The following is a 12200-nucleotide window of genomic DNA, read 5'->3' on the forward strand; positions in this document are numbered from 1 at the left end:
TCTAATAATTAGGGGGAGGGTGCTGAAGGCCAGATGCTTACTTATGTATTTATTTATTTTATTTTATTAAGAGACAAGATCTCCCTCTGAGGCCGGGTGCAGTGGCTCGCGCCTGTAATCCCAGCACTTTGGGAGGCCGAGGCAGGTGGATCACGAGGGCAAGAGATCGAGATCATCCTGGCCAACATGGTGAAACCCCATCTCTACTAAAAATACAAAAATTAGCTGGGTGTGGTGGCGCGCGCCTGTAATCCCAGCTACTCGGGAGGCTGAGGCAGGAGAATCACTTTAACCCGGGAGGCAGAGGTTGCAGTGAGCCAAGACCATGCCACTGCACTCCAGCTGGGTGACAGAGCGAGACTCAGTCTCAAAAGAAGAAAAGAAAAAAAAAACAGCTGGGCACGGTGGCTCACGCCTGTAATCCCAGCACTTTGGGAGGCCGAGGCGGGTGGTTCACAAGGTCAGGAGATCGAGACCATCCTGGCTAACACAGTGAAACCCCGTCTCTACTAAAAATACAAAAAAAAATTAGCCAGGCATGGTGGCGGGCACATGTAGTCCCAGCTACTTGGGGGGCTGAGGCAGGAGAATGGCTTGAACCCGGGAGCAGAGGTTGCAGTGAGCTGAGATCGCGCCACTGCACTCCAGCCTGGGGCACAGAGCCAGACTCCATCTCAAAAAAAAAATCTCCCTCTGTCACCCAGGCTGGAGTGCAGTGATCATAGCTCACTGCAGCCTCAAATCCCTGGGCTCAAGTGATCCTCCTGCCTCAGCCTCCTGAGTACCTGGGCACACCTACAGGCATGGGCCACCACTCTTGGCTAATTTTTTTTAGATTTTTAAAATAGAGACAGGGTCTCGTTATGTTGCCCACACTGGTGTCCAGCTCTTGGGCTCAACTCTCCTCCTGCCTCAGCCTCCCAGAGTGCTGGGGTTGCAGGCATGAGCCACTGTACCCAGCCCTGATGCTTATTTTTAAAAATAAATAATAGTTAATGAGTTATATGATATACTAATGCATAAGAATCTTCAGTATTTAATTTTAAAAGATGGTAGTAGGCAACCATATGGTAGGTGAAATAGTAGTCTGCCACTGTTTCCCCTTTTGCTGTGCTTACTGTTGCTTTCCTTCCCTGTATCATACTTGACCCAAGAAGTGGCTACACTGTTGATTATTACCTGTAAGTTAGAAACTCTTTAAGTGGTCAGAATAAAGCTGAAGAGCTGAAGAAGTCTTATGTGGGTCAGTTAAGGCATTTTTGTGACTTCTTCCTGCTGAAGGTGTTAAGTTGTCTAAACCATATAAATGCCAGTCCCTGAAAGTTTTTTATAGAACTGAATTTTTGGTTTCTGATACAGACTTAATATATAGTAGGGTGACCAGATAGTGTAAATTTTCATTCAAAGCTTTACTCTTCAGAAATGTTATAACTTTCTGGGAACTCCAAAATAGCTTTCCACATATAATAGGAAATTTGGAAACGTTTTTATTTAAAATCTAAAGACACTGAGCAATAGGCCACATAATGTCAAGATTGAGGAGTCCCTTATGCGGAACTTATTCACAATAGGGTGACTGTGGGGTAGAAACATACTCAGTGCCATGTGATAAATGTTAAAATTAGATTATTTAAGATGCATGACGGGGTGCAGTGGAACAGTCCTAACTGCCCAGAGGAGTTGGGAAAGCTTCATAGAGAAGGCAGTGTGAGTGGATCTTTTGTTATGTAGGAGTTTGCTAGGAGGGGAAGAAGAGCATTCGTTGACTTGCAAGATGGGAAGAAATTGGAATAAGTGGGTCGAAGAATAGAAAAGGGGTAGTGTTGTGGGGACATCTCCAATTTCCTACTACCTTGTCTATAGGTATAACTAGTTATTTTTGTATTGTAATAAATTCTGACTTGTTTTACAGACTCTGAAGTAGTGAGTGGTTTTTTTAACTAGAGATTTGATCTGTTTATATTGCATTTAAGACTAAAAAGTTTAAGAGCATTTTTCATGGATTGGAGGTGGGGCATGTACTGGGGGGACCTGTTAGGGAGAAATAACAGCACTTTGGAATAATGCAAGGAAGAAACAGTTGAGCCTAGTCTAAGTAAGATGGGGCAGTCACTTGTCAATGAGTTTGCGAGTGAAAGGGAAGCTATTTTGAGTTTAAAAGGCTGCTACAGGAACTGTAAAGGGTGGTTTATATAATACATTTGCAACTGAATTTACTCTCCACTGAAAGGAGAAAACTGAAGAGAAAAAATCTATACCTGTTTATGGGGGGGAAAAGCACCAAACACATTTACTTTTAGTTCTGAAACTGTCACCGTAAGAGAAACTTGTGCTAATATGTGTTTATATGAAAATGAAAGTTGAGTAGATCTGAGTCTGAGTTTTTATACAACTTGTTTAGCTGTTTCTTAAAACTTCTTTCCCAGGGTCTTGTCTCATATCTTTTCAAGAATATTTGTGTTCTGAGAAAATCTGGATTAGTCTGCACTTGCCTAATGGTTGGAATATTGAGAACCACAAGCAAATAGTCAGGGAAACCTTTCCAACTCAGTCTTGTTTAATTTAGCATTCACAGGCAGGTGCTGTACTACTCACTTCGCACGTGATTTGGAAGGGTTGCTAGCCCACCGTGATCTAAAATTCCTGTCATGACCAAGGCACCAAGATTAGTCTTGTCTTTAATGATACCTTGTTTTGTCTTGTACTTTGCTCAATATTTTCATTTACTAATATCATTGGTCATGGGCACATTTTTGGGAGGTAGAGACTGAGATTTAGACCAGTCTTTTAATCCCATCTCATTCTTTTTCCACTGTTACCAGATTTTCAAAAATCTATGGTAATATTTTCATTTTTTTTTAGGAGATAGGGTCTTGGTCTTTCACCCATGGAGGGAGTGCAGTGGCATGATCATAGCTTGCTGCAGCCTTGAACTTGTGGGCTCAAGCGATCCTCCTACCTTGGCTTCCTCCCAAAGTGCTGGGATTACAGACATGAGCCATTGTACCCGTCCTTCCATGAATAGTACCTCTCATGAAGATATTATTTAAAATGCAATACATGGTTAATTAGAGAAGTATATAAATGTGAATTCTAAGGAGGAGATTGCTTTAAAGTAGACAAAAAGTATTACTGTAAAGAGCAATGATAGCTAGTACCTTGGTATCCTTAAGATTTTGGAGAATATATTGTTAAATAAAGGGAAGGTAATAAAGTGGATGCTGGTTTAACACAGAGTGGAATTAATGTTTATTTTTGTTCATTTCACAAAAAGAGCATATCAAGTATCAGTAGCAAAGTACGTGTGAATATACTTCTGCACTCGTGTTCCCAGCATTGCAAATTGTAGTTTTTTGATTGCCTGCTTATGTGCCAGGCCCTGAGGCTTGGTGCTTGTGATAAACTGTCAGGAAGCAATGTAATACAGTTACTAAATAGTGCAGACCTCTGCCACTAGCTTGTTATTTAACCTCCCTCAGCCTTAGTTTACTCATTGATAAAAAGTTGAAAGATTTTACTGCCGGATGCATACAATCCATTTTTGTTATAGGGGTTGCTACTATCTGTTCACTGAGAAAAGACATTTTTTTAAAATAGGAGAAATCCTACATGGCTTGTCATTTAGCTCTGGTCATTTGAATATTACATACCACTCATGTACCTGCCACCAGTCAGAAAAATAGCCGTCATTTTGTGAAACCAGTGTGTGTGTGTGTGTGTGTGTGTGTGTGTGTGTGTGTGTTTTAGACAAGTGCAGTAGTGAGAAGAGGGGAAAGGAAACTAATGTTTGAATTAGTCTTCAGAAAGGATTTCTGCTGTTTGCAAAGAAATCTTAGCCCTTTTTTTGCTACCTTTAAATGAAGCATAAGATTCCCATAGGAAGATGCTGGATATCACAAAAGCAGGTGTATTAGAGTTTATTTTGTAATCTTGTAATTTTAGAGAAAAAGATGATGACCAAGAGTTGCTATCATGCTTCCTAATGAAGCAAAATTCATTCGTGTCAATTAAGTGGTTGGTTGTTTGGTTTCTATTCCATTCACATCAACATCTCTAATAATGAGTTGCTAGGTGGTTTGGCTGGTTTTGAATAAGGTAAGCAGTGACGTAATATATTGGTTCCTGAAAGTTAAGCACACTATTGTCAAAAGATTGTCAACTTGGAAGAACTCACCTGTTTTTGAGATTTGTTTTTGATATCAAGAACCACGTAGTTGGTGCCTTTCAAAAGAGACACAAGACAAATATACTTGATATTTATTTTGTAAGGTTTTGGCTGAGGAGGTCTATACTTGTTGTCCATGTAGAATTAGAAATCACAAATTCTAATATAATACTTTAGGGCTAGGGTAGGAGATAGGAAATGCCTCTTAAGAGTTGAGGAAAGCCTTCAACAATTCACTGTAGAATTTTGCATAAATAGAAACCTGTATTTGGAAACCCACTTGGCAGAATTGTAAGACATGTCCTTGAACAGACTGCATTTCAGAATAATGACTTTTTTAAAAAAAGATTGAGAAATCTAGTGAAATTGAATAATTGTATTTTTTATTTTTATTTCAATTTTGTTGAGACAGGGTCTCACTCTTGCCCAGGCTGTAGTATAGTGGTGTGATTGTAGCTCACTGGAGCCTTGGACTCCTGGGCTCAAGCCATTCTCCCGCCTCAGCCTCCTCAGTGGCTAGGACTAGCACATGCCTGGCCAATTTTATTTTTTGATTATTGAAATACATTTAACTTTAAGAAAACAAAACCACTAAATTTCAATTAAATATTTTCAGTTCATGATAGGTTTTAGTTTAATTGTAGACCAAAAAACCAAATTATTCTTCAGATACCATGAATTAAAACTAAACTTTGTTTAGTGATATAAGTTGCAAAGGGCAAGACTATTCAAGCCAGCATTTAACTCTAATACATATATATCCCAAAGTGCTGGGATTACAGGCTTGAAGCCCCACCATGCATGGCAAACGATATTTTTAAAAGCCTTTTATTTATCATGCATTATGATAAATACTAGGAAAATACCTAAATAGTATCCTATCTAGCTATTATCCTAGATACCTGAACAGTATCCCCGTTCTTAAGGATTGGGCAAAGGAGTTCTGTATCTATTTACTGTTATTTAATGTGGTACCACATTAAATAACATTTACCACATTTAATGTGGTACCACATTAAATACTTGTTCATTGTTCTGACTTCCAACCCATTTACTCTAAGCAATAATGCTACATTCTACTAATTTCACCTTACAGAGAAAAGAGAAGCCAACAGCCTGGTGGAATATCCTTAAGTTCTGGCTTTAGCTCTCTCTATGTACACTGCTTGTCTCTGCTGTCTCTCTTAAGTACCCAGACCCGTGCTCCTGTATCACAAGACTCCTTAGGAATCTTACACAATGGATAATTCCTTCTCTTCGCAGCAATATCTTTAGTATTCTCCCTTTAGTGACTCCTTCCTGTCAGTATTCACATATGTAATTTTCGGCCGGGTGCTGTGGTTCATGCCTGTAATCCCAGCACTTTGGGAGGCCAAGGCAGGAGGATTGCTTGAGCCCAGGCATTCAAGGCCAGCCTGGGCAACATAGTGAGACCCTGTCTCTACAAAAAATTACAAAAATTATCCAGGTGTGGTGGTGTGCACCTGTAGTCCCAGCTATCTGAGAGGCTGAAGTAGGAGAATCGGTTGAACCTGGGAGGCAGAGGTTGCAGTGAGCTGAGATCGTGCCACTGCACTCCAGCCTGGGTGACAGAGGGAGACCCTGTCTCCAAAAAAAAGTAACTTTCAGTTTCTTAAAAAAGAAAAAAATCAGTCGTTACCCTATTTCTCACACTTCCCTTTTATAGCTAAATTTCTCAAAAAGATTGTCAGTATTTTTTCTTAATTGATCATCATCTCTTCAGAACACAGACCACTCTTATTTTTTCTGCTTGCCCCACCTACTCACCAGTATCGCTCAGTAAGATTACCAGTGACATCCTAGGTGCTTATTGAATGAAAGTGATGTCCATTTTTAGCCCTCATCTTGAATTCTAGGGAGCATTGGCAAAGTGGACTACTTTTCCCCTAAAAGTCTTTTATATATTTTTTGTAACTCATTAAATGTTAGGATTATTCAGTATACTTAATCTTTTCTCACTGTCTCATCTGTTTCACTCCCATGGTTTTATTTGCCATCTATATTCTGTATTCTGACAAAAACTGTTTTTTCTTTTGAGTTGGGGTCTCACTCTGTCACCCCAGGCTGGAGTGCAGTGGTGTGATTTCAGCTCACTGTAGCCTCTGCCTCCCGGACTCAGGCGGATCCTCCCACCTCAGCCTCCCAAGTAGCTGGGACTACAGGTGTGTGCCACCACACTTGGTTAATTTTTGTATTTTTTGTAGAGGTGTGGTTTTTCCATGTTGACCAGGCTGATCTCAAACTCCTGGCCTCAAGTGATCTGCCCACCTCAGCTTCCTAAAGTGCTGGGATTATAGGCCTGAGCCCCCACTTCCAGCTAAGCAGTCTAGCTTTAATTGGTCTCCACTTCTGAACCAATGTGGATGCACCAGCAATGTTTTATACATCTAGTACTTACTAGTTAGTACTAGCAGTATTGTTTGAGCGTCAAGTACCATAATTGTAACACTTGGCTTGTTATATTATCCAATTAGATTCCTAGATCACATCTACGATATAGGTGGATGTAAATTAGGGAGAAACTAAGGCATATGGTCACATAGCCTGTAACAGAAACAGGAGTGGCACCTAATTTACCCTGGTTCTACAGCCCATTCCTAACCAGTACACTGTACTCACTGTACATGTCTTAGGCTTCTGTGAGCCTTGTAGTATTGAACACAGTAGATAATTCATTACTTACAGATGGTACTTTTTATTTAAGAAACAGTTCCAAGAAAGAGTGGTGTTTTGGGTGGTGGCTATGGTGTGGTTTGTAGATAAATTTTTCTATGTTTCCTTTTCAGATTTAGATGGTGCTCTACTCTCGGGGCCAGATGGTGATAGGAATGTGAATGCAAATTTATTGGCTGAAGCTGGCACTAGTCAAGATGGAGGTGATGCTGGTAGGTACAGTAAGATTTTAGCAACAGTACATTTAAGATTGGGAAGTGTTACATCTTACCTGCAGCCTAGTGTAATTTCTCTTCCATAAGGGGGTTCTATTGTATATAACTACTTTCAATCTATGGTAGCTATGTTTATGATGACTGGAAAATTGGTAAATGCAAATTGATGTTTCCGGTTTTGTATGTTTGACGGAGTCATTTGTTTAGTTTTAAAAACTCCTACATATAAAAAGTAATTGAGTTAATATGGCTTATGGCTTCCTGCTGGTATATAGATACGGAACGGAAATGGTAATTACGATAATGGTTGAATTTATTTTAATTAGTTTTTATGCAAAATGATGGTGTAGTTAATGGCTATAGAAAATGTTGATTAGTTCTGTGTGATGTCAGCAGTGCATTGGAGGAAGCTTGATGAATATAAAAACAAAGAATCCATGAGTATGTTATGAATAAAATAGAGTAAAAGAAAGTCATTCTTTACAGAAGAATGCCAAGCTGATAGAAGAATGATAGAATTGGAAAAATAGCTATTTTGCAATCCCCACAGGAAATAATTCAAAGTCATCAGTGGATGTTAAGCCACCGTTAATGGGCTTGTCCCCCTATGATTGGGTGAAAGATTGTTGGGGAATATCATATTCACATGGTCTCAAATTATTCCCATGGATTCCCATAGATGATTTCCACTTGCAAAGGGGAAAAGGTAAATTTACAATAAGGAGATCTGAGAAAGATTGTCATAACTAAGTGATTAAACTTAGTGCCATTAAAAAGAGCACAAACCAAAATTAAGGGCTGGCTGATTTGATGTGCCACCTGGCATACAACATTTCCTATGCAGTATTCTTGAGAAACTGTTTAGCTTGTATCTAATGACAAAGGAAAACCCAGACATTGATGTATACGACAGGTAGTCCAAACTCTAAAATGTTAATGTTACGACAGACAAGTGGGGAAACCACTAGATTGAAGGAGACCAAGGAAGTAAACTAAAGTGCAGCATGGATCTTGATTAGATCATGGGAACAAAAAATGGCTAAAGAGGACATTTTGGGGCCAACTGGAAATTAGAATATGTAGTGTGTGTTAAGTGATATTCAGTTAATTTTAAATTTCTTATACGGTGGTTATCTAGGAGCATGTTCTAGAAGATGCATTTAGGCTTGAAGTTATGAGCATGCATGTTTCTAAATAGTGCATAGAAAGCATGTATGTGTGTACATAAAAACTTGACAAAACTAGTATTTGTTGAAGATAGATATGGATGTTTATTGATTGTTTCAATTTTATTAGCTTTGGAATTCTTTTCAAAGTTGGTGAGAACAGAGACAGTGAGGTACTTGTTACTAAGAGTAGTCGTGGGCTCTGAATTCAGTATGTACTGACCAAAATAAAACCACATTTCTAAAGAAACTGCCTTAAGGTGGTTTCCCCTGACTGTTTAAAAGAATTTACAAAACAAGTTTTGAAATTAGCAGTTTGTACGTCAGATGTCTTGAATTTTAAAGATTTTTTTGCTCGTACAGAAAGTTGCTAACCGCGCAAGAAGATGTTACTGCACTTGCTTTCTCAGTTTTGAAATCTAGTCCAAGAATGGGTTTAATTAGGGATATTTGAATTCATATGTAAAATTTTAAATTTGTAAACCTTTGATATAGGGTTATTCCTCTTAAAGGGGACATTTCGATTCATTAGTATTTTTGCATCTGAGATCAGCCTTTGCTTGATGATTTTGATGTCAAAAACTTACATTGCTTTTTCCTTAGTTTTCTATTGTGGAATAATGTACCCAGAAGGATATTATTGATCAGTAAGCACCATTTTGAAGAGATCTATAATGACCTTAATGATCCTTAAGTGTATTGAATTACAATGACAGTACCTTTATTTAGGCCACTCTTGTAATTCCTACAAGTATTCTCTGTTATAAGAATTAGGAGAGATGAAAGAAATTTGGGGCAAGGTTTACTTAATTTGAATTACCATTTTGTATTCCAGATAGAGTATTCATTCCTTGTTATCATGGATGTTGAATCTTGGATTTTCAGTTTACAAATGGTTTTAGGGATATTCTTCTGTCTCCTTTTTCTTTTGAGATGGGGTCTCACTCTGTCACCCAGGCTGGCCTGAATCTCATGGGCTCAAGCGATCCTCCCACAGCCTCTCAAATTACTGGGATGACAGGCACGAGCCACTGTGCCTGGCCTATTTCCTTATTCTTACATGTTGTGAATAATATTTAATTGTAGATACTAGAACATCTAATGTGTCTTTTGGTACTAGTTTTCCAAGTATTTTGAGCAAGTCAGAAGTATGTATTGGCATTTGCTAGATAACATTTATTCTACAAGTAATTGTAGGGCATGTGTCTTAAACAATAGAAAAACCAAGGCAAGTAAGATAGGCGCAGGAGTTTGTACTGATTTAGACAAGAAATATGGATCATAAAGCTCAAACTTTGTTTAGAGATGTGAAACTAACAGTAGGTTGACCTCCACAGGCTACCACTTCCGTTCCATTCTTTATCCCTCACACAGAAATGCTTCACTTTAGGATTCTTACAACTTACTCCCAAACACTAATTAGGTGCAGCTATAATGAGTTATAGTTGAATTTATGTAGCTATGGGTTCAGGGGGCTTTCTTTACATCAAAAACCGGTGACGGTATTCCAAGTACAGCACAGTTTACAGTAATAGTAATGATGTGCAGTTTTAAAATATTTTAGAGACATTTTTACTTTGTTGGGTATTAAGACTTTCACCAAAAAGGAATCTTAAGTTATCTTAATTTTTAAGAGGGACAGCATGTCTGAGAACATATATGGGAAGTGATTCTTAGGAAATCCATTTGGGTAAACATTCTTTACTTTTAAAACCGTGATGCCCATGGGAGGAAAATGTATTATTGCTGCTTGAGTGAACTGTATCTTGGCAAGGAGTGTTTTAGGCAGAGGAAAGCTTAAGCACTTTGAATTGGGAGCATGCTTATTATGGACGAGGAACAGAACAGAGGTCAGTATAGTTGGAATAGAGTGACTGAAAGGAAAGGGTGGTTGGAAGCCAGGGCTCCACCGGGTAAAGCTTTGGAGGATATTGAAAGTCTCTAGCTTTTACTGTGAGGGTGGGTAGTCTTTGCAGCCTTGTAAGCTGAGTGGTGACCTGACTTAAGGTAGTGTTTTAAAGAATCTGTGATTTCTCTGCTGAGAACAGACTCTAGGAAGGCAACAGTGGAAGTAGGGAGACAAGTTTTTGGTGGCTACTGAAGACAGTCCAGGGGCTAGAGCTCATGATTGATTGGATCAGGGTGGCAATAGTTGTGGAAGATTCTGGATATATATTCCTATTGCCAAAAGGTTCCTGGTCCAAGGAATTACATTAAAGATGGAATTAAATCCAGTGGATATAATTCCTGTCCTTGCTAATCTGAAGATCCTTAGGCACATGTATTATTCTATTTTGATTCTATCTTCTGCACGTTATTTTATTTAAGGATGGAGTTAGAAAGAAATTTCAGGGAACCCTGAGAGCATTCAGTTACCTTGCCCTAATATGTCTGAAACAAGGATCTAGTAATAGAACTTTACATTTTTAATTATCCTATATATATTCTTTATTCTTAGTCTATTTTTCTGTACCAATTAATCTTAAAATTATGTGCCTGTCCTGGATTCGTAATAAGGAGAATATCCCATTTGATAGCTGGGCTTTAGGGTGATAAAATCTTAAGTGATAGAGTAGTTAGAAAAAGCAACTATTAGGAGTTCTGGTTTGAATATACCCATCCTTTAAAAGGGTAATTTCTTGTGGCGTCTGCACAATTAAATGATATTCATGTTTTTTTCTCCCGCCCGCCACCTTTTTTTTTTTTTTTTTTTTTTTTTGAGACATGATCCCACTGTGTCGCCCTGGCTGGAGTGCAGTGGCGCAATCTTGAATCACTGCAACTCCCGGGCTCAAATGATCTTCCCCAGTAGCTGGGACTGCAGGCACACACCACCATGCCCAGCTAATTTTTAAAATTTTTTTGTAGAGATGGAGATGGAGTTTCTCCATGTTGCCCAGGCTGGTTGCAAACTCCTGGGCTCAAGTGATCCTTCTGCCTCAGCCTCGCAAAGTGCTGGGATTATATGCATGAGCCACTGTGCCTGGCCCATGATTAATTTTTTTAACTGAATTTCTTCTACTATAGTTGAATGGTATTTTGTTTAATTGTGATAATAAAGTAGGAAGACATCTCAATTTTAGACTAAAATACAGTTTTATTTAACTCATACTATGAAATTCTATCATAATGCCTGTAGGATATAAATATAATTTCTGTTTTCTGACTCTGATGAGAGACAGATCTTTATTACCATTATTAATTCAGAATTTTTACTTGTACTAGGTACTTCACATGATTTCAAGTATGGTTTGATGCCTGGTCCTTCAAATGATTTCAAGTATGGATTGATACCAGGTACTTCAAATGATTTCAAGTATGGATTGATACCAGGTGCTTCAAATGATTTCAAGTATGGATTATTGCCAGAATCTTGGCCAAAACAAGAAACCTGGGAAAATGGCAAGTATTAGTCAACTAAACAAATACAGAATTAATTAAATAATTGTTAACAATTAAAAGCTTTCATGTTCTGCATTTTTTAAAAACCAAGTAGCAGTAGCTCCACATAATTGCTGTTCTCAGAGATAGAGATAAGAAGTTTTGATAGCAAGTTTTCTGTTTAATGTGTAATAAGCACTTTCTCTTTTTTTAATTCTCATAGGTGAATCATCTCTAATCATGAACAAGTTAAAATGCCCTCATTGTAGCTATGTAGCCAAATACAGACGAACACTAAAAAGGCACTTGCTCATTCACACAGGAGTGAGATCATTTAGCTGTGATATTTGTGGAAAACTGTTTACTCGAAGAGAACATGTAAAAAGACATTCCCTGGTAAGTAACTTTAAATACAGCTGATCTTTGAGATAAACTATATTTATGTCAGTGAAGTTTAAAGGGATTTAAACAGTTAATTGTGAATTTAAGGAAGATTGTCTCCTAAATTGCTTTAAACAGTTTGACTTTATGAACTGATAGTGAGCTTTTTACAGAGAAACTGGTGTATTCACTCACTAT

The 12200-nt window shown here is 38.3% G+C and overlaps 1 protein-coding gene across 3 annotated transcripts in view; it reads left to right on the top strand.

The window, feature by feature from the left end:
* Positions 1 to 12200, top strand: part of ZBTB10 (zinc finger and BTB domain containing 10) — a 40673-nt gene that overhangs the window by 21345 nt on the left and 7128 nt on the right. For 2 of the 3 annotated variants that reach the window (NM_001277145.2, NM_001105539.3), the window contains exons 3-5: positions 6973 to 7071; positions 11466 to 11642; positions 11845 to 12017. In NM_001277145.2, the coding sequence (NP_001264074.1) occupies positions 6973 to 7071; positions 11466 to 11642; positions 11845 to 12017 (449 nt within the window). The remainder of the gene's footprint in view (positions 1 to 6972; positions 7072 to 11465; positions 11643 to 11844; positions 12018 to 12200) is intronic. The other variant, NM_023929.5, reaches the window with a different exon arrangement.

This window comes from Homo sapiens, chromosome 8 (genome assembly GCF_000001405.40).
Source record: "Homo sapiens chromosome 8, GRCh38.p14 Primary Assembly".
NCBI lineage: Eukaryota > Metazoa > Chordata > Mammalia > Primates > Hominidae > Homo > Homo sapiens.